This window comes from Homo sapiens, chromosome 11 (assembly GCF_000001405.40).
Source record: "Homo sapiens chromosome 11, GRCh38.p14 Primary Assembly".
NCBI classification, from domain to species: Eukaryota; Metazoa; Chordata; class Mammalia; order Primates; family Hominidae; genus Homo; species Homo sapiens.
In genome coordinates this window covers 33,725,485-33,752,247 of record NC_000011.10, presented here as the reverse complement: position 1 = coordinate 33,752,247, position 26,763 = coordinate 33,725,485, and the positions used below count along the sequence as shown (strand labels likewise).

The following is a 26,763-nucleotide window of genomic DNA, read 5'->3' as shown; positions in this document are numbered from 1 at the left end:
TATATGGTCTGGACTAGACTGTTCCAGTAATCCTTTTCTGCTTTGAGCTGGTCACTAAGAAGATGGAGGACCGCTGTGCAATTAAATCTATAGTAGTGTGCAACTAGACCACTTTGGGATTGGCCCGATGCACAGAACTCCACAATGTCATGTCCCTGGTAGATGTCCAGACTGAGCCTGGCTTCTGCCAAAATTTTGTGCTTGAGTCAGGATGTACCTGGACCAGGGACGTCTGAGAATAGGTGCTGATATTTTTCTTGTAGTTTCTTCCTAGTCATAGCTGTATTTTCTTTGTTCTATATGTTCAATAAATTACAGACAGAAGGCTTTTCATTCTTGTACCACAATGAATTAAAGTTTAAAATTTGATTAATTATAAGTGTAAAAAAATAGTCTGAAGGTCATTGGAGGATTCTCTAACAATAGTTGGGGGGATGAAGAGGGGGAGAATCCCAAGGAAATAAGGTGGATAGAATTGAGAATAGAAATTGATCTTATAAATAATTAGTACAATTATATCTATAAATGTTTCTAGTTTTGGTATCACATTCTAAAGCATAGAGGAATTACAATTGTTTCCTGTATAGATTTTACAAAACTATTTGTTCTTTTCTTTTTTTCTCCCTTTCCTGCTTTATAGGTGCTACTTTTACTGACTGGTTTACCTCTTATGTCAAAAATGTTGTATCAGGTGGCTTCCCCATCATCAGAGACCAAATTTTCAGGTATTTTATTTTGGGTCTTTTTGGATTGAAATGATTGTAAATCAGAGAAAAATGATAAGTCACAGATCATGAAATGAAGTTTCCCAAGAAGGTTGATAATAGAACCTCTCTATTGAGGTTGATAATAGAAGATTGTCTTCAGTCTCACTATTTTATTCTCACTTTAAAGCCAAACATCTAAATGCTTAGACAACTGGTATTTTTCCTATCCAGAAGAATCAAGAAAAAGCTGATTTTGATTTAGAAACTATGGGTTAATAGTATCTATATAATTTATTTTTGAAAAACACCAAAAAGTTATTTGGCAACTGATAGATTTATTATGAATAGCAAGTCGGTAACTGTTAATTCCTGGCAAATATTTATTATCTCTAAATGGAACATTCAGGTATTGTAGGGAGTACTGGAGGTAATACTGGTTCATAATAGCCTGGTTGGCAGAAATGATAGATTGATTATACATTAGAGGCTTCTGAGAACAGCATACTTGCACATTTTTATTGTCAGAGCCATCATTTAGCATTGGACATCATGCAGCTGGGTTTTCAGATGTCCCAAAAGTTTCCTTAGCCCTGGAAACTGAATAAGCTCATTTTTGTTTCCAAGCTAATTACCAATCCGTTATTTGAACCACTGATCATTGAACCTTGATTGCTGTCATTACTGATCCAGAGTCACCAAGGTTTTGTAGTTTGTTTCTAGTTTCCTTCAAAGTTTAATAGGACTATACCCAAATATTATTGAACTTTTCTGGGTCTGAAATATGATTTAAATTTTTTGTCCTAAAGTATAACCTATTTTGCATCGTATCTTTTAAATCCTGTAGTTGATTTTAAAATGTTTAATTTTTAAATTACCTAGATATGTTCACGATCCAGAATGTGTAGCAACAACTGGGGATATTACTGTGTCAGTTTCCACATCGTTTCTGCCAGAACTTAGCTCTGTACATCCACCCCACTATTTCTTCACATACCGAATCAGGTGAGAATTTTAAATGGGGTCACCTTTCAGTTAATGGTGGGATATATCCAATGGACATGTTGCTATTGTCCCATTTGACATGATATGTAAGACACATTTTGAAAGAACTTGCTGAAGTTTGGAGGAAGGTGGATACATTTTCTACAAGATAGTGTTCATGGAGGACTTTGACTTCATATTAACCTCTAAGTTAAGTTATTTCTTGAAAATATACTGGGTATCAAGTATTGTGCCAGGTACTGTGGAAATGGACCACTAAGTTGTAGTCGTCATTAAAGCTTCAAGTTGTAATGCATTCTAGAAGCTCTCAAATTGCCATAATAAAGTCATGCATTTTAAATTTCATCTGGCCTATTTATATTCAATTAAAAAATCTAATAAATGTGTATTGAGTGCTTCATGGATGTCAGACATAGTGTTAGACATTGAATTTTATTAAATAAGAAGCAAATATTTTAAATTTACGTTAGTTAGAAGTATTCTGTGCTATGACACAAAGATAACTCATTGCCCTAAGGGATTAAGGATACTGTGCTTTAAAATATATTTTTATATATTTTATGTAATATATAAGTATATTTTAAAATACACATACATGCATATATGCATACTGGAAGTATTTGAGTAAAATATAACTACCAGGAAGCATCCTAGGATTTAGATACTGTATGCAACCTTTGCTATATCCAAATACACATGTATAGATATTTGTCGTTTACTTGTTTGATTTAGATCCTGCCTAGGATTGAGATGTGCTCAAAATAAAAATACCAACACATACTTATAGGGTACTCAAAGTGAAAATAAGAGACACCAGATTCCTAGGGAAAGGGGAAAGTGATAGCATTGGGAAACAGAGTCAAAGTGTAATCCCAGGCTGGACACGGTGGCCCACGCCTATAATCGCAGCACTTTGGGAGGCTAAGGTGAGAGGATTGCTTGAGTTTGGGAGTTCAAGACCAGCCTGGACAACATAGTGAGACCTTGTCCTACAAAAATTTTTAAAAAAATTAGCCAGGTGTGGTGGCACATGCCTGTAGTCCCCAGCTACTAGAGGAGCTGAGGCGGAAGAATGGCTTCAGCCTAGGAGGTCAAGGCTGCAGTGAGCCCAAGATTACACCAGTGCACTCCAGCCTGGGTGGCAGAGTGAGACCCTGTCTCAAAAAAAAAAAAAAAAAGTGTAATCCCAGTAACTGGTGACATCTTGTCTTAAACTGTCTAGAAACTAATGGAAAAAAGGGAAATGGGTTGTATAGTCTCATGCAGTTAAAGAGAGACTTTCAGTTCTCCGGAAGTTTTTCATGGCACTATTTTCTAGAAAGCATTTGCCAAATTGATCTTTATTTGAACAGCGAAAGATTGTTGTCACCATTATGTTGCACATTTTATGTTGCCCTTTCTGTTGTTGATCCACACTGACAGTCAAATGCATAAGTTGAGTGAAAGCATTTTTGTAGGGGGATCAAGTTAATGAAGCCAGTATCTTTGAGAACTTAGAAAAATAGATGGCTAACATGGACTTTGGGTTGGGTTTCTTAATTTTTTGGAAATTTTTCTTCATAGTATTAGCCTGAATACTGTATCTCTTAAACCAAAGAAACAAAGAAGCCAGATTTTTGTCTCTACCACCCCATTCCCTTCTCTAGGATTGAAATGTCAAAAGATGCACTTCCTGAGAAGGCCTGTCAGTTGGACAGTCGCTATTGGAGAATAACAAATGCTAAGGGTGACGTGGAAGAAGTTCAAGGACCTGGAGTAGTTGGTATGGAACCCAAGATTTAGGTTTATACATTAATTCCTTAGAAGAAATGTTAGACTTTGCATCCTAAATATAACATATAAATGTATAAAGGTCGTTATCCTATTAATTTAATCCCTTAAGCATTAACTTTTCTGAAATAATAGCAAACTTAATTATTCAGGGATTGATTTCCCTTTTTGTGGATTTTATTTTATTTTTTTTAACTGGTTCATTATTCATTGTATGTTGTGGGTTAGAACACATAGGGCAGAAAGGGGGAAATAAATTTTGTATTCGTCATGTTTTTTGAAGCTTGGGGGGAAATGTTAAAATTAATGGCATGAATTTTTATTGTTTGTAGATTTCAGTCACTTTAATTCTGGTTACCATTGTCATTTGGCTTTCTTAAAGATTATGATTATCTGAAGTCTCTGAGCCCTCAGATGCTTCAGGTTTGAATATATGCTCCAGGAAAATAACATATTTATGCTATGTACTTCTGTTATCAGTTCTAAGCATATACAGAATTCAGTTTAACGTTTTCTAAATTCATTGCCATGGATAGATCTACATGTTTACTTAACAAATTTTTTTCCTGGGCTTCAGTCCAGGAATTTTTTCTGGATCTAGCGCTAAGAGAGAGGCTTTATTAAAGCCACAGTTCTTTTTCTGCCATTTGGTCCAGTGGTATAAGGACTCTCCCTTGTGAGTGCCATTTTGTCTGGTCTGAATGCTTAGGATGCATCTTCACAATTTTATGTTTTTGTTTCTTGCTACTTTAAAAATATTTAGATTACCTTATCTTTGTTTGAACTGGTGTCTGTGATGCTTTTTATTACTCATGTCTTAAAGGTTGTGTCTTCAATGCCTCAAAGCTTTTTGAAAAAGAAACATGCCTGTTCTGTTTTTTTTTTTTTTTTTACTAGATACTTCCCACTTTCTACATTGTAGGGAATTTGAGGAATACATTAAAAAAATGTTGAGAGGGCTAAGCGCAGTGGCTCACGCCTGATATCCCAGAACTTTGGGAGGCCAAGGTGGGCGGATCACCTGAGGTCAGGAGTTTGAGACCAGCCTGGCCAATGTGGCAAAACCCTGCCTCTACTAAAAATACAAAAATGAGCTGGGCATCATGGCAGGTGCTTGTAATCCCAGTTACTCAGGAGGCTGAGGTGGGAGAATAGCTTGAGCCCAGGAGGTGGAGTTTGCAGTGAGCTGAGATCACGCCACTGCACTCCAGCGTGGGCAACAGAGCAAGACTCTGTCTCAAAAAAAAAAAAAAAGTCAAGAGGAATAAAATACCTACTCATTGTCCTATCACTGTTAACATTTTGTTACATTTTCTTTTGGAATTTTTTTTTCTAACTGTGCATTTACTATTATATAGTTTACATAATGCCATGGAGACCATACCTTATTTATTGTAATAAAGAAATGAATTTTATACTTTGGTTTATTGTTACTGTTTTCCCTGCAGGTGAATTTCCAATCATCAGCCCAGGTCGGGTATATGAATACACAAGCTGTACCACATTCTCTACAACATCAGGATACATGGAAGGATATTATACCTTCCATTTTCTTTACTTTAAAGACAAGATCTTTAATGTTGCCATTCCCCGATTCCATATGGCATGTCCAACATTCAGGGTGTCTATAGCCCGATTGGTAAGTTAAATTTTCCTCTAGTGCTGATTTACATGACTTTGTAGGGTTAACACTGCAGATAAGCCAGGCAAATAGTTAGTTTATAAATAGTGTTCCAGAGAACCCTAGAGATTTTGAGAAAGTATCTTGGGGGTCATGTGAATTTGTTGAGAGAAATGGACAAGTAAATGAGGCTCCATAGTCTCTAACCAGAGAATTTCTGCTGTTTTAAAGATTCAACTTGTTTTTCACTGTTCAGTGGCCTAAATGTAGATTATGAGAAATACCACATTAGACCAGTAGAATCAGCTTTAAGACTGGGAAAACAACTTCTTACAGTGTTTTTGCTCAAACTTCCAATTTAATGTCAAATAAACAAATATTCCATAAAGATCATTATAAAGAAAATTTAATGTGTGGATGTGTACTTTTGGCAGTCTCTCTGGGATCATTTCTTAAGTCAACTAGGTATATTTTTTAAAATCTCGTTTTTAGGGTTACCTTATGACAAGTGTAACAGTAACTCCAACCTTAGAGACTATAACATGATTAAAGAAAGTTATGAAGCTCCAGTTATACAATGGGGATAAAATATGAATTATATACCCAGAATGCAATTGAGTTGTAGGTGTTGAATCTTTGGAAAATGCCCTCTAGCTTCTGGAATGACCCTGATGGATGGGTTTAAGTTTGGAAAGATGGACATGATATTAATCTGATCCAGAGCTGACACATTTTCAACTCCAGTTTGAAAAGAGAAGGATGATAATGAGACTTTGGGCCATTACCTGTGTGGCATATCTAGTGAAAAGAATCTACAGTGTGCGTTTGGAAGTGAAGATTTAGATTTCTTCCCAGTGGAGGAATGCCAGAAACTGTATTTCCAGTACTGGGAATTTGCTGCTTTGCATAACAGAATTCCTTTTTTGACTGGCCCAGTATCTGTATGAGTTTGGAATAATCTTTTCCCTAAATGTTTGATATGATTCATCACTGAAGTTATCTGGGGCTAGAGTTCTGTTTGTGGGAAAATTTTGAAATTTGAATTTAATTTCTTTAATATTCATATTTTCTATTTCTTCTTGTTTCAGTTTTGGTAATTTGTGCCTTTCAAGGAATTTGTCCATTCCATCTAAATGTTGAATTTATTGGTATAAAGTTATTGACAGTATTCCCTTGATATCCTTTTAATGGCTACAAAAGCCATAGTCACTTGTCCTCTTTTGTTCTTAATATTGTTAATTTATATCTTCTCTTTTGTTCATTGCTTTAGTTAGGGGTTTGTAATTTTTATTGATCATTTAAAGGAGCAACTTTTGGTTTTACTAATTTTCTCTATTTGCTTATTTTCTATCGCATTGATTTCTGCAGTTATCTTTATTTCTTTCCTTCTACTTTGAGTTTGCTTTTCTTCTAGCTTTTTTAAGGTAGAAGTTTATATTAGTAATTTTAGAACTTTTCTCTCTCCAAGCACTGTTTTAGCTGCATTTCACAAGTTTTGATGTGTTTTCATGAACGCGTAGTTCAAAATAGTGTCAGATTTCCCTTGTAATTTAATTTTGATCTATGACTTTTCTAGAAATGTGTTAATTTTCAAACATTTGGGGGAGTTTTCAGTTATCTTTTGGCTATCGATTTTTTAAATTTATTGTGGTTAGAGAATTTGCTCTGTATTTTCAATCCTAAATGTTTTATGGCCCAAAATTATGGTTTATCTTGGTAAATGATCCTTGTATATTTGAAAATAATGTACATTCTGCTATTTTGGGGAATATTACTCTATAAATGATAGGTCAAATCGGTTGACAGTTTTTTTCAAGTCTTCTGTATACTTGCTGATTTTTTTTTTTTTTGGTCTTTGTCCTATCAACAAGTGAGAGATGATTGTTGAAATCTCCAAATATAATTATAGTTTTTTGTTTCTCTTTTTAGTTCTGTCAGGTTTGCTTCATGTATTTTGAAGCTGTATAATTATATGCAAATATGCTAAGGATTATTATGTATTTTTAATGACATAATTCTTTCATCATTATGAAATCTCCATCTTTATCGCTGATAATATTCCTTGTCCTAAAGTTCAAAGAGCATTGAGGTGTGTTTTGGCAGGCAGTTGAGTTACTATTGGGTCGACTTGATCCTTTGGAATCTTGTTTGTTTTTAATGTTTGTTAGGGTGGGTGTAAAGTTGTCTTTATTTAAGGACGGTGGTTGTCAACTTTCAGTCTCATGACCCCCTGAAACTCTAAAAACTTATTGAGGACTCCGAAGAATTCTTGCTTATGTGGATTGTATTAATGCTTACCATATCAGAAATTAAAACTGAGAAATAAGTAAAACAATATTTACTTATTAGTTCCTTTTCAAATGACAATAATAAACCCATTTCATGTTCAGCTCTCTCTTAACTATGTTCTTTCTTATTAGTTTTCGTTTCCTTCTAACCACAAATAAACATATAAAATCTTGACCTGCCTTGTGGAAAATGTTTTCTCTCAAGGATGAGAAATAAAATGAGAATTCTGGACTTACTTCTTATCAACATTAAAAAAGCCATGGGGGTTGTATTTGTTGACCTTTCCTGTTTGTATATTAGTTTTCTGATATGGAGAATTGTTCTGCTTTTTCGTCCTCTACCAGTCTGATTAATTCGTAGGCTTAACACTTCCTTTTTCTTTCTCCTTGGAATGCCTCTTGGGATATGCATTAGTTGGTCTTATGTCTTTTCTTGGTCTAGGTGGTGTGTGTGTTTGGCTTGTTTGGGGCACTTTTAGAGGCTCCAGCTGCACATTTCCACTCCTCTCTGTGTGTTCCTCTCTGCATCTGCTGTTTGTGTGTGTACACTTTTTTTCTGAGCAATCTTTCTCCTTAGCCACATTGAGTTCTTTAACAGTTTTTCTGTTTTCTTCTTCATTAAGATAATTAATAATCATACTACTCACATATCATGTTTTAGAACTTCCTAAGCCTTTCCCTTTCCCACCTTTTGGACCTCCTAACTGAATTTCAAAGTCTTCATTCCTTAGATTAAAAAAATAAATCCAAAGATAAAAGAATGTAATGTCTTATAAGTCGTATCAGTGTATATTTTCTCTGTTATTGTTGTTAGTGTTATAATAAATCCTAAGTGACACAATTCCTTTCTCCTACATTAATTCATTTGCTTGTACAACAACTATTTATTGAGCACTGTGATTAACAATATAATCAAATTCCCTGCCTTGGAATTTACATTCCAATTCAAAGAGACAAACTGTAACAATAAACACTATGTCCTTATATTAAGTAGTAATAAGTGCTGTGGAGAAACAGCAGAGTAAAGGGGATAAAGAACGTATTGTTAGGTTGTTCTAATATAAAGATGTGTCAGGAGAGGCCTTGGTGACATTTAAGCTGAAACGTGAAAGGAGCAGAGGGAATTAGGTGGATATGTGGGAGACGAGAGGTCGAAGCAAAGGAGCAGCACGTGTGGAGGTTCCGAAACAGTAATGTGCTTGGTGTGCTTGACCCAAGGAGGCCAGTGTAGCTGGAGTGCAGTGAACAACAGGGAGAGGGGCTGGAGATTAGATCAGAGTGTTAATGGGGTGGTGGATCACGTAACACCATAAAAGCCTTGGTGGAAGGACTCTGGCTGACATCACGCCCCAAGTTGCCCCATACTTTCCAGAATACCAAGTAGGTCCTTGCTGTTCAGAATTCTGTTCAATGTAGCAGCCCCTCCCATTGCGTCTTCAAATGTGTGAGAGAGAACATTGACAGCAGAGTAAGTCATGGCTTGATTACAGACATTGCATGGGCAGAATTGACATTTCCAAGAGATATTCAGATGCATGTTCAACATCACTACTGTCCTAATCTGAGAGCCTCCAACAAGGTAATTTTAAAATAGAGGCTGTCATTTCCTTCCAGTGTGGGTTGATCTTAGATATATACTTATAACGAATCGGCAAAGTGACACTGTGATTTCTGAGTTAGAAAAAGGTAATATTCCTTCAGCCTAGGGTTCTGTCTTTCTCTCCTGGGACATGTGTCTTTGACACCCTGAGCCACCATGTAAGAAGTCCAGCTACCATGAAGCCGTCATGCAGAAGAGACCATGTAGAGACATCACACAGAGATAGAGGGAGGCACCCAGGAGCCCCAGCTGTTTCAGACTCCAGATATTTGGATCATCCTGCGCGGGTACCAGACATGTGAATGAAGAAGCTCGTGAGATGACTGCAGTTCCAGCTACCATCGGACTGCAACATCACGGGACACCCCAACCCAGAACCACCCCACTGAATACTTCCCAAACACCAACCCACATGAACCATGAGAGATAATAATGACTGTTGCTGTTTCAAGCCACTAAAAAAATAAAAATATTTTTTTAAAAAGTAGAGGCTACTGATGGTTGAATTGAAATGATGTGTCTTTATGGTAGGAGCTCAATAAAAATCTTAGATCTCTTGTTGACAGTGCATAAAAGTTACCAGTAGAGGTCATACTTGATTAATATTTTCATATCCTCTTTTCTGTAAGTATATAGCTTAATAATTATTATTCAGTATATGAATATAAGCTCAGTAAAACTGTATCTTGGATTGTTACAAGTGGTCTGTTTGCTACCTTCTGTGAATTACCAACTACTGTGTAAAAAATAAGTACTGGCTTAGTGAAATATTTACCATTAAAACCATACTGAGCTGGGCTGGGTCGCATGCACCTGTAGTCCCAGCTACTCGGGAGGATGAGGTGGGAGAACTGCTTGAGCCCAGGAGTTTGAGGCTAGCCTAGGCAACACAGCAAGAACTCGTCTCTAAGAAAAAATAATAATTTTTTTAAAAAGAAGATCTTCCATTAAACAACAACAAAAAAATCACACTGAGCATTATTTAACACAAGATATAGAATCCACTCCAGAATCTTGCATCAGCATGTGTGTTGTGAGAATCCACTGTTCAAGTCTATGGAAATTCATATTTGGCGTGTCTGGTTGTTTGAATTCTAGATAAATGAGAATTTACATGAAATAACTAAAAAACTGATAGATGCTCTTCTTATCAAAAGATTGTTTTCTCTTTCAAGGAAATGGGTCCTGATGAATATGAAGAGATGGAAGAAGAGGAGGAGGAGGAAGAGGAGGAAGACGAGGATGATGATTCAGCAGATATGGATGAATCAGATGAAGATGATGAAGAGGAGAGACGGAGGAGAGTCTTTGATGTTCCCATTCGCAGACGCCGCTGCTCACGCCTTTTTTAGCAAGCCTTCTGCTGATGGAAGCACTAGGATGATTCTAGGCTGTTAAATAGATTTCTCAATAATGTAAATAACTAAATTGTTCTCTGCATATAGCAGGAAAACTAGCATGAAATATTGTTTCAGGCCCTGGGTTCTATGTGACACTACATTAGGAATTGGATTGTTTGGGTTTGCTTTGTGTTTTTGAGGTAGAGGAAGAAATGGGAATCTTTTTTTTCTCTTCCAGGAGTCAGTGGAAGAATAGTTCTCTAGCTAAGGAATGGACATACCTTTGTTTTAAAATATTTTATACTTACAAAAATCTAGAAATGGAGAGGGAACTGTTTTGAATAAGGATTTAAAATACCTGCACAAGGATAGAGAGAAACTATGTGACTCATTCTGTGAAAAGACTTCTTGCAGTTGTGAGTTATTTAGAAATGATCAAAATTTGTAATTAGGCTAATCCATTTAGTGATTCCTAATATTTTGTACTCACAGAGAACTAATTGACTAAACAACTTGAACGCTAGTGGTTTGTCCTTAGACAATCTGTCTTTGAATTTAAAGTCTTTATCGCTAAGACCTTGACTTTAAATTTTTCATCACTACAACCTTGAATTTAATTTCAGGTCTTCAACATGATGACCTTGGATTTAATTTAAAGTCTTCAACACTATGCGCTTTATCATATTATTCACAGATGCATTTTTGAAATGTAGTATGTAAAAGTATGTAACGTGCTGTTTATTAACAAAAGATTGTTCACAACATCTCATGTAGTTTAAATTTGTAAATACTGCTTCTGTTTTGTTTCTCCTTTATACACTTGACTGTCTTTGTGATAAGTGACATGAATTTTATGTTAGGATTAAGTATGTTTTCCTGAAACTTGGATTTTTTTTGTAATTATATAATTGAGAGTTAAGAATGAAATCCTTCAAGTGTTAAAAACTCACATTTTAAAAGCAAATTTTGGTTCCAATTCTGTATTTTGTATAATTGCTTATTTTCCATAAACTAATATTAGTCAGCATTTGCTTTTAAGGTAGAAGATGGGATGGATTCTTGCTGACCTGCTGCAAAAGTAGCAGGTCCACTCAAAGTCATCTCCTAGCTTTGACTGTACTGTCTTGTGTGCCCCACCATCCATTTTCCCCCAAGAACAGTTATTTTATAGAGAAAACTGTAAGAAAACAAGTGGCATTCAAGGCTAAGCAGCTGCCATTAGGGAACATGAAGACAAACTTATCCTTTCATTTTCACACATGTCAAGGTGTTCTGAAATAGACTAAGTCATTTTTCATGTTTACTTTTCATTTAATAGAGTATAATCAGGCTATCAAATCCTATTATGGCTATCCTTTTTTTTTTTTTTTTTTGAGACGGAGTCTCACTCTGTGGCCCAGGCTAGAGTGCGGTAGTGTGATCTCGACTTACTGCAAGCTCCACCTCCCGGGTTCACGCCATTCTCCTGCCACAGCCTCCCAAGTAGCTGGGATTACAGGTGCCCACCATCACGGCCGGCTAAGTTTTTGTATTTTTAGTAGAGACAGGGTTTCACCATGTTAGCCAGGATGGTCTCGATCTCCTGACCTCATGATCTGCCCACCTTGGCCTCCCAAAGTGCTGGGATTACAGGCGTGAGCCACCGCCCCCGGCGGCTATCCTTTTTAGAAAAAAAGTCAATTGTCTTTATTTAGTTTGTTATAACAAAATACCTTAGACTGAGTCATTTACAAACAATAGAGATTTATTGCTCACAGTTCTGGAGGGTGGGAAGTCCAAGATCAAGGCATCAGCAAATTTGGTGTCTGGTAAGTACCCACTCTCTGCTTCAAAGATGGCACCTTCTTGCTGTGTTTTATGTGGTGGAAAGAGCAAACAAACTTCCTCAGGCCTCTTTTATAAGGGCACTAATCCCCTTCATGAGGGCAGAGCCTAAAGGCCCTACCTCTTAATACTATTGCTTTAGGGATTGGATTTCAACAATTTGGGGGAACAAAAACATTCAGACCATAGCGTCAAACCACTTAATTTTTTCAAAACCGAACTTTTCCAATAAAGCAGTAATCAAAAACTAGTAAATCTTGGCAATTAAGGCTGGCCCTGGAATCCCTTGCCATTTTTTCTTTCTCTTTTCTGATGACCTCTCTCTCTATTTCCAGAGTACTTATGATGCCCCAAATCTCCCTTCCAACCCTGTCTAACCTTTGCTCCTCAGAATGCTTTGATTTGCTTTATCCTCTCATCAGAATTCACATTCTCTTAGTATGTTGAATGAGTGACCTCTAGTTCATACTGAGGTGTAGTTTTTTGTTTGTTTTTTCAGACAGTCTCGCTGTGTCTCCCAGACTGGAGTGCAGTGGCATGATCTCGGCTGACTCCAACCTCCGCCTCCCAGGTTCAAGTGATTCTTATGCCTCGGCCTCGTGGGTAGCTGGGATCACAGGTGTGCACTACCATGCCCTTTTTTGCATTTTTAGTAGAGCCAGGGTTTCACTATATTGACCAGGCTGGTCTCAAACTCCTGTCTTTAAGTGATCCTCCTGCCTCTGGCTCCCAAAGTGTTGGGATTACAGGTGTGAGCCACCGCGCCCGGCCTAACGTGAAGTTTGTTGGTAACAAGCTTCTGTATTTTCTGCTATTGGCAAGAATGCTTATTCACACGTAACAGGAATTTAACAGTTGGCATTAATGTTGCCCAAACCAGACTCTACTTTTGGTGGTGAAAAGGCCATTTCTGGCTCTGAGGACCCTTGAAAACACAACTGATTTTTTTTACTAATTTCTCTGAGGCTTGATATATCACTAGAATAAGACAAATACCTAAATTAACAGTAGCTTAAATAGTTTGGGGGTGGTTATTCTTGCGAATAGTCAGAGGTAGCTAGTTCAAGGCTGACATGATGGCACAGTGGTGTTATCAACAGTCCAGATTGGCTCCATCTTTCTGACCTGCCATCCTTAGCACAAGACTTTTCCTCTCAAAGACGATCATGGTTGCATACTGGCTGCTGCAGGCATATTGTATTCACAAAAGGATGATGATAACAAGGTAAAATGAAGTGGAAAATGAAAAGTGAGGCATGAGGCTGGAGAGGTAAACTAGCCAGGTCTCTAGCAGCCGTGTGGAGGGCAAGCAGAGAAGGGGCAGGGGATGCAGGAATTGACATGGGCAACATGGGGACCTGGTATTAAGGAATTGTAATGGCTCAAGCAACGCAAACTACAGATCTGAATTAGCACAGTAGCAATGTGAAAAAGGAATGAAATTGAGATATTGAAATGGTAAAATAGGCAGGAATGGCTGAGTAGATGTGAGGGAGTGGAAGAGGTCAACGTTGATTCCTAGGTTTCTGTCTTCATTTATGAAAAAAATTCAGGAAAAGCAGTCACTCTTTAAAGATGAATTCAGATTTGTGCACATTAAGTTCAAGATGTCTGTGGAACATATAAGTGGAGATGTCCAGCAGTCAGCTGGATATGAATATGAAGATAGGGGGAGTGGTCAGGGATGGAGACAGACTTTTGAATCATCTGCAAACATACATCCCAAGGTAAAAGAGTAGATACACTATAGTCTCCCAGGGAGCACACACAGCCATGGTTCTCAGTCTAATCCTGGGACACCAAATTATTAGTGGGTAAAGGAAAAGAATCTCAAGACCGAATGGTCAAGAAACCATTCTAGGGAACCAAACTAGGAGAGAGTGGCATCTCAGAAGCCAAGCGTGTCAAGGAAGGAATAGCTAACAGGATGTGTGTAAGGTATGTACACAAAAGAGCTTTGGAATCCATCTTGGGAAATATACAGTATTAGCTGTTTTAAGGAGACATGCTTTAAATATCAAAGCAAGTCATCCTGATTTAAAAAACTCCCACTTGTATAGAGGAATACCAGGATTTGAGCACCACCAAATGGAACTCATTCCCTGACATCCCAAAGCCATCAGAATAACAGTAGAAGCGTCAAGACAGTTACTATATGATTTTCCCTGCAAGACATTCAGTAATCTATGATTCCCCCTGCTTAAATTTTATCTCATGCCTTCTTCCCTGACCAGTTCAACACAAGCAGCCCTGAGATGTAATATCTTCTCACCCTGACCCTCAAAGTGTGTCTCATGCTTTCTAACAGAGGCCATCCTCTTGGAGGAAGACTTGTACTTTTGGCCTGTAGCCCCACCCTCCCTCCTATGGCGTTCTTACAGTCAGTTCTGCAGTGAGTGGGACACTTTCCAAATATAATAGCAAATGGAAACTTCTAATTACATCTGCACATAAAACTAATGTTCCAAATGGTGGTTGCGGTTCTGGTGAGTGCTTATAATTTTTTGTTACCTCAGCATCCATTTTTGAATATGTTTAACTTTTAATAACAGAAGCAAGTCTCAGTCACCATTGACAGTTTCCAGTACTATACCCCACGCAAATGGCTCTAGCTGGTGGCCAGAGATAAACATGCAGTGATGTGATAACAGGGCACTACTGCAGCTTCAAACTCTGGTTCAAGTTCCTCCCACCTCTGCCTTTTCACCTGCTTGCTTTTAAATCCACCAGTTAGAGCTCTCCAGAGGAAACCTAACTGGATAAAGTTGCTGGCCCAAAGGTCCGTTCCTCCCTTCCCTCTCCCTGTTCTCCCTGATCTCCGTGTGTGTGTGTGTGTGTGTGTGTGTGTGTGTGTGTGTGTCCTCTAGGCAAGCTGTGTACCACCCAGGGTCCGTAAGTACTAAAAACTCTTAAACTTTCACACCGCTGTGTTATTGAAACCATGCCTACAATCCAGTCCCTGAGGCGAGGCCACCCTGAAGGGACAGACTCATGCAGGCGGATCCCCTGGTCTTGCTCTTCTGTCCCTGCCTCTGGTGGCTGCTGGGGAACAGTAGCTACCAGCTAAGTTGATAGAGACACTCGAAGAGGTTCATTCAAAACACTGGTCCCCGAGCAGCCCAGTAAGCTTTTAAACGCATAACATTTTGTTTGGGTCTCAAACAAGTCACAAGGCACGGATACGGATGCGGCTGTGGCTGATGGCTATTTGGATGCTGCCCAAGCCTCGCAGTAGGAAGCAGCTTCAGACTGCAGCAGGGCCGCATAGCCCGATAGCCAGGCCCTGGGGCACCCAGGGCACCAGCAAGACGCACAGAAACGTTTTGAAAAACATTTTAATATACTTAAAAAAAAAGTAAAAGGGAAAATCAGAAGTCTTTGGAAGTTTCCTACTGTTTTTATGTCCCATAGCAAATCCGAGGAGGACGCCCCAAACTTTCAGTTCCCTGGGGTTTTGAAGGTGCTCATTGGGTCCTGGCCACCCGGCCTTCTCAGAACCTGGGCCAGGAGGCTGAGCTCCGCGCGGGGGTGGAGGGAGAGGAGGAGGTTCCTGCCGAGGTGCGGCTGCGCGGTGCGGGAGCCGGGAGCCTGGGAGGGCAAGGGCATCCTGAGGGGCGGGGCCGGGGGGCGGAGCCTTGCGGGCTGGAGCGAAAGAATGCGGGGGCTGAGCGCAGAAGCGGCTCGAGGCTGGAAGAGGATCTTGGGCGCCGCCAGGTAAGAAGGCCCGAAGGCCTGCTGGGGTTTGGGTGAGCCGAGCCGAGGTGGCGGCGGCAGTCTGGGCCCGGGCGGAGGGTCTGTGGGGGCTACCCCCGTCCTCGCTTTCCACTCGACCCCTGCCGGGCGAGCCTCCCGAGGCCTGGCCCTTCCAACCCGTCACCGCGGCCCGGTGTCCTAGCCGAACGCTGGCTTCATTTTATCTACGAGGAAGGAGAAACGGGGAGCGCGCCCTCTCCCAGAAGCAGCCCCGTTACCCCCGTCGCGCCCCCCATTCCCTCGGGGGCAGCCTCGCACCCGGGCCCCTGCCATCGCTTTCGTCTCAAGGGAAGCTCTAGCGGTCCAGAGAAACTGCGCCGGGGGAAAGGCCAGCCCTCCGTGGTCACGGCAGTTCCTCTCTCCCCTCGCGGTCTAAATGTGTAATTTTGAAAAGCAGGTGTCGGGCGAAACGGACTTTTTTTTTTTTTTGAGATGGAGTTTCGCTGTTGCCCAGGCTGGAGTGCAGTGGCGCGATCTGGGTTCACCGCAACCTCCGTGTACCGGGTTCAAGCGATTCTCCTGCCACAGCCTCCTGAGTAGCTGGGATTACAGGCATGCGCCACCATGCCTGGCTAAATTTTGTATTTTTAGTAGAAACGGGGTTTTCCCATGTTGGTCAGGCTGATCTTGAATTCCTGACCTCGTGATCCGCCCGCCTCCGCCTCCCAAAGTGTTGGGATTACAGGTGTGAGCCACCGCGCCCGGCCGAAACGGACGTTTTAAGTACAACGTGATGTTTTGTTTTCTTGGGTCGGCTCGGGCCGCACCCTTCTTAGAGTCTGACTGCTGACTTTTCAAAAAACAACATTAACCCGGGAGGCTGAGGTAGCGGTGAGCCGAGATCGCGCCATTGCCCTACTGCCTGGGCAATAAGAGCGAGACTCCGCCTCAAAAACGAACAAAACCCACAAAGAACAAACAAAAAAAACCAACATTAAGCAGTGTGCCTTTTATGGCCGTTTAGTGATACCCAGGCTCTTCACTGGTCATTTCTGGAAGTATTTAACAGCACTTGATGGGTAAAACAATAGGCTTCACTTCACAGGGTGGTTGAGATGATTGACGGAAAGCGCTCAGCACAAACGCGGCGGCTGCTAATTATTTCAGGTACCCTGCGATCCCTGAGCAGTTGTTCAAGTTCTCCACTCCTGGCGGTTTACTCCCAGTTCCCTGAAGAAGGCACAGAGCCCCGAATGTTGAGGGAGATGGCAACGTTTGCCAAAATGTGGCTATTTACGTGGCAGTTTATGAAGGAGAGGCAGAAAGGGAGGCTGCCTCCCCTACAAGCCAAACAGTCCTAAAACTTGTGGCCTCTGTATTTTCACAGTGGAAACTAGAAACTGTTTGCTGAACTTAGCTGTAAGAAAAACATCCCATTAGCTGAGTGGCTTAGGAGATAAAAGCCTAAATAAAATGGATCTTAGGGTGAGAGAGTGGGGTGCCTAATGGCATTCATCTTTGACAGCTGCTGGTAGAAGCTCTTGAAAAGTAGAGCATGGAAAATTCTGGGCCACCTCTTTAAGAACCTCAGCCAAACCGCCACAGACATTGCCAAGCCCAGAAGTGCTTGAGGCTTTCTAAAGGCAAAGACTTCTTTTTACTTATGTCCTATATCTTAGGAAACATATTCACTAAACCTTGGTTTTGCATGTGTACTTAACACGGGAGGGGCCGTGAGTGCGGAGATAGGACTCTTTGGAGAGTTAGGGATTGGCATTCCGGAACAAACTGCAGGAAAGGCCCTTGTAGGGGAAGCTGCAGATTTGTTTGGTCCAAAGAGTTCTGGCCTAATAAGTGGGAGCTGACCAATGAGAACACTTGGACACAGGGAGGGGAACAACACACACTGGCGCCTGTCGGCAGGTGGGGTGGGTGGGGATAGAGCATTAGGAAAAACAGCTAATGCATGCTGGGCTTAATACCTAGGTGATGGGTTGATAGGTGCAGCAAACCACCATGGTACACGTTTACCTATGAAACAAATCTGCACATCCTGCACATGTACCCTAGAATTTATATGTATATCACACAAAGAGTTTTGGAGTGGTTATTCCTGGCATGAGAACCTTGGCTGGATTGGAAAGCCTTTTCCGTTATGATGGTTGTTTTCTCTTTGTCTCTTCCTGCTGATGTAATTTGTTCCGTGAACTGAGTGATGGATGTTTGTCTGGGCGCTTCAACAGGCATGGCTAGAGCAGGTATTGTGTATGTCTCCAAGGTGACACGCAGACCTGGGGTTCAAAAGCTCTAGTTCTCTGACATTGCTGACACTAGGTATCTTGTGAGTTGCCAGCCCCTGGCGAATAGAAACAAGATCCATCCAGGGTGGTTTTGCGACTAACATGTTGCCTTGGGACAGGTAATTTCATCCCACTGGGCCTCCACTAATTTCCTATAAAATAAAAACATTGGGTTTTATTTTGAGGACACTTCTAGCCTTAAAATTCTTCAGTCTGTAAGGCCTCAGGCTCCTAGGAGGAGTAACCATACTCATGGGCAACTGTGAATCTTGTGGAAACACCACTGATGTCAACTCTCTTCTCTAATGACCTCAGCTTAACTAATGTATTTCAGAAGCTGAATTTATAAGAAGTCTCCCGTCTCCCCACTAGAGTTTAACTATGGTTCGTTCACTCAGAGCTTAGACCTGGGTTTAAATGCTGTTCTACCAGTTTCCAGTTCAGAGGTTGCTATAATAATTTTAATAATTTTTTTTTTTAATTTTGAGACAGTCTCTCTCTGTTGCCCAAGCTGGAGTGCAGTGGCACAGTCTTGGCTCACTGCAACCTCCACCTCCTGGGTGCAAGCGATTCTCGTGTCTCAGCCTCTCAAGTAGCTGGGATTACAGGTGAGTGCCACCACATCTGGCTAATTTTTGTATTTTTTTTAGTAGAGACAGGGTTTCACCATGTTGGCCAGGCTGGTCTGGAACTCCTGGCCTCAAGTGATCCACCCGCCTCAGCCTCCCAAAGTGCTGGGATTATAGGCATGAGCCACCACACTCGGCCTTATAATAATTTTCTACTGCTGCTGAAACCACCACAAATTTAGCTGTTTCAAATGCCACAAGTTTATTAATCTTTCCATTCTGTAAATCAGAAGTCTGACACAGGTCTCACAGGGCTGTAATCAAGGTGGCAGGGCTCTGTGCTGCTCTGGAGGCTCTAGGGGAGAGTCTGTTTCTGTGCTCATTCAGGTTCCTGGTAGAATATAGTCCTTGTGACTGGAGGACTGAGGTTCTGTTTCTTTGCTGAGTGTCAGTTGAGGACCATTCTTAGCTTCTAAAGGCCGCCTGTGTGCCTTGGCTTAGGGAACCCTTCGTGTCTTCATCTCATTCTTCAAATTTCTTGCCTCTTTTTCTGTTGTCGGTCATGAGTCTTTGACAGACTCTGCTACCTTCTTCCTCTTTCAATGACCCCTGGGATTACATTGGGCCCATTGAATAATCCAAAATAATCTCCTTAATCTCATCTACAAAGTCACTTGCCATGCAAGGTCTCCTGTTTTCACAGGTTCCTGGAGTTAGGATACGGACATTTTTGGGGAAGAGAGGCATTATTCTACCTACCACATAAGTTAGTTGCATAAATTAGTTCTCTTCCTCAATCTTGTTTCCTCCCCCTGTAATTGGAGGCAAAGGTTCAGTTTACCTTATGGTATTATTGTGAGGATTAACTCCAGTTACTATGTCAAGAGCATCTATCTTAGCAACTGGCCCTTGATATTTGCTCACCAAATGGAAGTTAACACAGGAACAAGGTGTATTAGTCCATTCTCACACTGCTATAAAGAAGTACCTGAGACTGGGTAATTTATAAAGAAAAGAGGTTTAATTGGCTCGCAGTTCTTTGGGCTGTATAGGCTTCTGCTTCTGGGAAGGCCTTAGGAAACTTAGAATCATGGTGGAGAAGGGGAAGCAAGAATGCCTTACTTGGCGGGAGCAGGAGGAAGACAGCAAAGGGGGAAGTGCTACACACTTTCAAACAACCAGATTTCCTAAGCTCTGCCACAAGACAGCACTAGGGGGATGGTGCTGAACTGTTAGAAACCACCCCATAATCCAGTCACCTCCCACCAGGTCCCTCCTCCGACACTGGGGATTAAAATTCAACATGAGATTTTGGAGGTGTATTAGTCCATTTTCATGCTGCTGATAAAGACATACCGAAGACTGGGTAATTTGTAAAGAAATAGAGGTTTAATGGACTCACAGTTCCACGTGGCTAGGGATGCCTCACAATCATGGCAGAGGGTGAAAGGCACGTCTTACTGGCAGCAGACAAGACAGAAATATGAGAGCCAAGTGAAAGGGGAAACCCCTTATAAAACCATCAGCTCTTGTGTGACTTATTCACTACCACAAGAACAGTATGGGGGAAACCGTCCCCAGTGATTCAATTATCTCCCACCAGGTCCCTCCCACAACACGTGGGAATTATGGGAGTTACAATTCAAAATGAGATTTGGGTGGGAACACAACCAAACCATATCACAAGGTCTTGCCTAATGGCTTGCATTCAATGTCATAATCATATGGGCCCTTAAAAGTAGAAGCGGCTCCTAAATATTTAAGAACTAACAGCTTCTTTTATAACCCTGTTGGAAGAAACATTTCCAACCCAATCTAAAGTAACCTGGCCCTTATGCCAGGTCACCCTCTAACCCAGTGGTTCTTAGTGTGATCCCTGAACCAGCAGAAACGCAGCACCTGAGTGCTGGCTCAAAATGCACATTCTTGAGCCTTACACTAGCCCACCTGAATTAAAACCTCTAGGGCTGGAGTCTAATCATCTACTTAAGAGCCCTCCAGGTGATTCTGATGCTCCCTAAAGTTTGAGAACCACTGTTATGACCCTCTTTTATTTTCGTCCTAGTCTTTAGCACCAGTTGGTGTAGGAGTTGAGACCTACTTCACAGTAGTAAGTATACTGATGAGTGAATTCCTTAAATGTTATTAAATAATTATTTGATGTGTTAAATGTTTTATGTTCAATTTCTTTGGATTGCATATATATATGTGCATATATATGTGTATTTGTGTGTGTATATATAATGTATGTATATGTGTGTTTTTACGTATATATGTAATATATATTATATATGTTTATATACAGTTGACCCTAAAACAATGCAGGGTTAGGGACACTGACCACCTACACGGTTGAAGATTCAAGTTTAACTTTTGACTCCCCCAAAACTTAATTACTAATAGCCTACTGTTGACCAGAAACTTTACCGATAACATAAACAGTTGATTAACACACATTTGGTGTGTTATATGTATTGCCTACTGTATTCTTATGATAAAGTAAGCTAGAGAAAAGAAAATGTTACTTAGAAAATCGTAAGGAAGAGAAAATCCATTACAGTTCTGTACTATAGTTATTGATACCATCAGTTTATGTCGTCTGTTTACAAGATGAATTACTTGTCTGAAATGGCAGGCGGCCACAACTGCAGACCTCAATCTGTAGTACATATCAAGTAGTTCAACTGTTTTTTGGTAACATCATGACTTTTTTCTGCTTCTTGGGAGCGTGGCCAGCATCACTTGTGGCACCCTGTAAGGGTCTCATGTGTCATTCAAGTTTTACACTATTGCGCTTAACACGATAAAGAAAATACTCAAGAACTGCAAGAGATCACCTTTTACTGTGATGTGCAATTTCTTAAAGAGGCAAACAGCTCACAGATAATTAGCATCACATGATACTAATCATATCCCTGCTGATAAGTAGATCCTTGCAACACTTGAGCTCACTGCAATAGCAACAGGAGGTGGCTATGGCATTATTAACAGTATATACTATAGTTGATTTTATGCAGTATGATTTAATACTGCATCTTTACATTTGTTTACATTTCTCTTTACTTTGGTGCCATGTCTGGTCTGTGTTTGTGTGTGTAAGTTTTAATAATTTATTTTTTTGAGACAGGGTCTTACTCTGTCGCCCAGGTGGGAGTGCAGTGGTGTGTCTTGGCCCACTGCAGCCTCAACCTCCCAGGCTCAAGCAATCCTTCCACCTCAGCCTCCTGAGTAGTTGGAACTACAGGCACACGCCACCACACCTGGCTATTTTTTTTTTTGTAGAGATGGGGTTTTGCCAGTCTCGTCTCAAACTCTTGGCTCAAGCAATCCACCCACCTCGGCCCCTCAAAGTGCTGAAATTACAGGCAAGATCCACCATGCCTGGCTGACACATTTTAACTTTATAATAGATTTGTGTATGTTTTTGGGTAGTGATAAAATAGACTAGTATCTATATACATTTTATACATTCATGACATACCTAAATTTTTCTTAATTTTAAAAAATATTTCTAGGCTATGCAGTTTATCTAACAGTTTTTTCAATTGCAAATCTCCAAAATATTTTCCAATATATTTTCAGAAAAAAAATTGCATATAAATGGACCCCTGCAGTTCAAACCTGTGTTGTTCAAGGGTCAAATGTGTGTGGGTGTATATATATATTTAATTGATATTTGGGGGGCCGGTTGGGGTTTTGGATGAACAGTAACACGTTTTCCTACTTAAAATAGTGGAAATAGACTCATTACATTTTCTACCCAAATACCCAGAACATTTGCTATCTAAAACATTTTCAGGAACTTGATAAGAAGTGCCTGTATTTTTTTTTTTTCTCGGAGATACGGGGTTTAAGTTCTTTTTTAAAAATTATACTTTACGTTCTGGGGTACATGTGCACAATGTGCAGGTTTGTTACATAGGTATACATGTGCTATGTTGGTGTGCTGCACCCATCAACTTGTCGTTTACATTAGGTATTTCTCCTAATGCTATCCCTCCCCCACCCCCCAACTCCCGACAGGCCCTGGTGTCTGATGTTCCCCTCCCTGTGTCCATGTGTTCTCATTGTTTAACTCCCACTGACAAGTGAGAACATGTGGTGTTTGGTTTTCTCTTCTTGTGTTACTTTGCTGAGAATGATGGTTTCCAGTTTCATCCATGTCCCTGCAAAGGACATGAACTCATCCTTTTTCCTGCAAAGAACTATAACTCATAGTATTCCATGGTGTATATGTGCCACATTTTCTTTATCCAGTCTATCATTGATGGGTATTTGGGTTGGTTCCAAGAATTTGCTATTGTGAACAGTGCTGCAATAAGCATACGTGTGCATGTGTCTTTATAGTAGAATGATTTATAATCCTTTGGATATATACCCAGTAATGGGATTGCTGGGTCAGATGTTCTAGATCCTTGAGGAGTCACCATACCGTCTTCCACAATGGTTGAACTAATTTACACTCCCACCAACAGTGTAAAAGCATTCCTGTTTCTCCACATCCTCTCCAGCATCTGTTGTTTCCTGACTTTTTAATGATCGCCATTCTAACTGGTGTGAGATGGTATCTCATTGTGGTTTTGATTTGCATTTCTCTAATGACCAGTGATGGTGAGCATTTTTTCATAAGTTTGTTGGCTGCATAAATGTCTTCTTTTGAGAAGTGTCTGTTTATATCCTTCACCCACTTTTTGATGAAATTGTTTGTTTTTTCTTGTAAATTTGTTTATTTGTAGATTCTGGATATTAGCCCTTTGTCAGATGGATAGATTGCAAACATTTTCTCCCATTCTTTAGGTTGCCTTTTCACTCTGCTGACAGTTTCTTTTGCTGTGCAGAAGCTCTTTAGTTTAATTAGATCCCATTTGTCTATTTTGGCTTTTGTTGCCATTGCTTTTGGTGTTTTAGTCATGAAGTCTTTGTCCATGCCTATGTCCTGAATGGTATTGCCTAGGTTTTCTTCTAGGGTTTTTATGGTTTTAGGTCTTACATTTAAGTCTTTAATCCATCTTAAGTTAACTTTTGTGTAAGGTGTAAGGAAAGGATCCAGTTTCAGCTTTCTACATATGGCTAGCCAGTTTTCTCAGAACCATTTATTAAATAGGGAATCCTTTCCCTGTAGCTTGTTTTTGTCAGGTTTGTCAAAGATCAGATGGTTGTAGATGTGTGGTGTTATTTCTGAGGCCTTTGTTCTGTTCCATTGGTCTATATATCTGTTTCGGTACCAGTACCATGCTGTTTTGGTTACTGTAGCCTTGTAGTATAGTTTGAAGTCAGGTAGCGTGATGCCTCCAGCTTTGTTCTTTTGGCTTAGGATTGTCTTGGCTATGTGGGCTCTTTTTTGGTTCCATATGAAATTTAAAGTAGTTTTTTCCAATTCTGTGAAGAAAGTCAGTGGTAGCTTGATGGGAATAGCATTGAATCTATAAACTACTTTGGGCAGTGTGGCCATTTTCATGATATTGATTCTTCCTATCCATGAACATGGAATTTTCTTCCATTTGTTTATGTCCTCTTTTATTTCCTTGAGCAGTGGTTTGTAGTTCTCCCTGAAGAGGTCCTTCACATCCCTTGTGAGTTAGATTCCTAGGTATTTTATTCTTTTTATAGCAATTGTGAATGGGAGTTCACTCATGATTTGGCTCTCTGTTTGTCTGTTATTGGTGTATAGGAATGCTTGTGATTTTTGCACATTGATTTTGTATCCTGAGACTTTGCTGAAGTTGCTTATCAGCTGAAGGAGATTTTGTGCTGAGACGATGGGATTTTCTAAATACACAGTCATGTCATCTGCAAACAGACAATTTGACTTCCTTTTTTCCAATTGAATACCCTTTATTTCTTTCTGTTGCCTAATTGCCCTGGCCAGAACTTCCAATACTGTGTTGAATAGGAATGGTGAGAGAGGGCATCCTTGTCTTGTGCCAGTTTTCAAGGGGAATGCTTCCAGTTTTTGCCCATTCAGTATGATATTGGCTGTGGGTTTGTCATAAATAGCTCTTATTATTTTGAGATACATTCCATCAATATCTAGTTTATTGAGAGTTTTTAGCATGAAGCGCTGTTGAATTTTGTTGAAGGCGTTTTCTGTGTCTATTGAGATAATCATGTGGTTTTTGTCGTTGGTTCTGTTTATGTGATGGATTATGTTTATTGATTTGCATATGTTGAACCAGCCTTGCATCCCAGGGATGAAGCCGACTTGATTGTGGTGAATGAGCTTTTTGATGTGCTGCTGGATTCAGTTTGCCAGTATTTTATTGAGGATTTTCACATAGATGTTCATCAGGGATATTGGCCTAAAATTTTGTTGTTGTTGTGTCTCTGCCAGGTTTCGGTGTCAAGATGATGCTGGCCTCATAAAATGAGTTAGGGAGGATTCCCTCTTTTTCTATTGATTGGAATAGTTTCAGAAGGAATGGTACCAGCTCCTCTTTGTACCTCTGGTAGAATTCAGCTATTAATCCATCTGGTCCTGGACTTTTTTTGGTTGGTAGGCTATTAATTATTGCCTTAATTTCAGAACCTGTTATTGGTCTGTTCAGAGATTCGACTTCTTCCTGGTTTAGTCTTGGGAGGGTGTATGTGCCCAGGAATTTATCCATTTCTTCTAGATTTTCTAGTTTATTTGCGTAGAAGTGTTTACAGTATTCTCTGATGGTAGTTTGTATTTCTGTGGGATTGGTAGTGATATCCCCTTTATCATTTTTTATTGCGTCTATTTGATTCTTCTCTCTTTCCTTCTTTATTAGTCTGGCTAACAGTCTATTCTGTTGATCTTTTCAAAAAACCAGCTCCTGGATTCATTGATTTTTTGAAGGGTCTTTTGTATCTCTATCTCCTTCACATCTGCTCTGATCTTAGTTATTTCTTGTCGTCTGTTAGCTTTTGAATTTGTTTGCTCTTGCTTCTCTAGTTCTTTTAATTGTGATGTTAGGGTGTCAATTTTAGATCTTTCCTGCTTTCTCTTGTGGGCATTTAGTGCTATAAATTTCCCTCTACACACTGCTTTAAATGTGTCTCAGAGATTCTGGTACGTCGTGTCTTTGTTCTCATTGGTTTCAAAGAACATCTTTATGTCTGCCTTCATTTCGTTATTTACCCAGTAATTCAGGAGCAGGTTGTTCAGTTTCCATGTAGTTGTGCGGTTTTGAGTGGGTTTCTTAATCCTGAGTTCTAATTTGATTGCACTGTGTTCTGAGAGACAGTTTGTTGTGATTTCTGTTCTTTTACATTTGCTGAGGAGTGTTTTACTTCCAATTATGTGGTCAATTTTAGAATAATTACCATGCGGTGCTAAGAAGAATGTATATTCTGTTGATTTGGGATGGAGAGTTCTGTAGATGTCTGTTAGGTCCACTTGGTCCAGAGCTGAGTTCAAGTCCTGGATATCCTTGTTAATTTCCTGTCTTTTGATCTGTCTAATATTGACAGTGGGGTGTTAAAGTCTCCCACTATTATTGTGTGGAAATCTAAGTCTCTTTGTAGGTCTCTAAGAACTTGCTTTATGCGTCTAGGTGCTCCTGTGTTGGGTGCATATATATTTAGGATAGTTAGCTCTTCTTGTTGCATTGATCTCCTTACCATTATGTAATGCCCTTCTTTATCTCTTTTGATCTTTGTTGGTTTAAAGTCTTTTATCAGAGACTAGGATTGCAACCCCTGCTTTTTTTGCTTTCCATTTGCTTGGCAGATCTTAATTCATTGTGAGTAGCCTTCCACGCCCATTACTTTTCCTGGCTATGCGGTTCCCCACCATGGAAGTGTACCATAGTATACTCATTTCCTTATTGTTGGATGTGTGTATCACTAAATTTTTGCTATTTTAAAGAATGTTTGTATGCCCTTGACTATTTCTTATTCCTGTGATGAAAGGCCTACTTGGAGCTCCCATTACGGAAATGACTTTAGAGTCAACTTACGCACCACCCAGGAAAGCCTGCCGTTCCTTCATCATGGGGGAAGACTTGTTCCTACATATCTTCTTTGAGGGATTTTTCAGTTGTGCATTCTTTAGAATGATTAAAAATCATTCAGAACAATAGCAGT

The 26,763-nt window shown here is 40.0% G+C and overlaps 2 protein-coding genes across 9 annotated transcripts in view, besides 2 other annotated features; both read left to right on the top strand.

Moving 5' to 3' along the window:
* FBXO3 (F-box protein 3) overlaps positions 1–11,304 on the top strand; it is a 33,577-nt gene extending 22,273 nt beyond the window's left edge. For 2 of the 5 annotated variants that reach the window (XM_011519980.2, XM_047426752.1), the window contains 5 exons: positions 641–725; positions 1,587–1,709; positions 3,356–3,471; positions 4,928–5,118; positions 9,090–9,475. In XM_011519980.2, coding sequence (XP_011518282.1) covers positions 641–725; positions 1,587–1,709; positions 3,356–3,471; positions 4,928–5,118; positions 9,090–9,290 — 716 coding nt within the window. In that variant the 3' untranslated portion in view covers positions 9,291–9,475. Of the gene's footprint in view, positions 1–640; positions 726–1,586; positions 1,710–3,355; positions 3,472–4,927 lie in introns of all 5 variants that reach the window. The other 3 variants (NM_012175.4, XM_011519981.3, NM_033406.4) reach the window with 3 other exon arrangements.
* Positions 15,707–16,176: a silencer, noted in NCBI's record as "silent region_3241". NCBI's record gives its function as "represses an Ori minimal core promoter by ATAC-STARR-seq in GM12878 lymphoblastoid cells {active_cell/tissue: GM12878}" and the evidence as "EXISTENCE:reporter gene assay evidence [ECO:0000049][PMID:35858748]".
* The window catches only part of CD59 (CD59 molecule (CD59 blood group)), a 33,470-nt gene continuing 22,475 nt past the window's right edge, over positions 15,769–26,763 (top strand). Inside the window, exons 1-3 of one of the 4 annotated variants that reach the window (NM_203330.2) lie at positions 15,769–15,866; positions 18,638–18,753; positions 20,780–20,824. The gene's annotated coding sequence lies outside the window, so the exon portion shown is untranslated. The remainder of the gene's footprint in view (positions 15,867–18,637; positions 18,754–20,779; positions 20,825–26,763) is intronic. The other 3 variants (NM_203331.3, NM_203329.3, NM_000611.6) reach the window with 3 other exon arrangements.
* Positions 19,666–19,795: an enhancer, noted in NCBI's record as "active region_4584". NCBI's record gives its function as "activates an Ori minimal core promoter by ATAC-STARR-seq in GM12878 lymphoblastoid cells {active_cell/tissue: GM12878}" and the evidence as "EXISTENCE:reporter gene assay evidence [ECO:0000049][PMID:35858748]".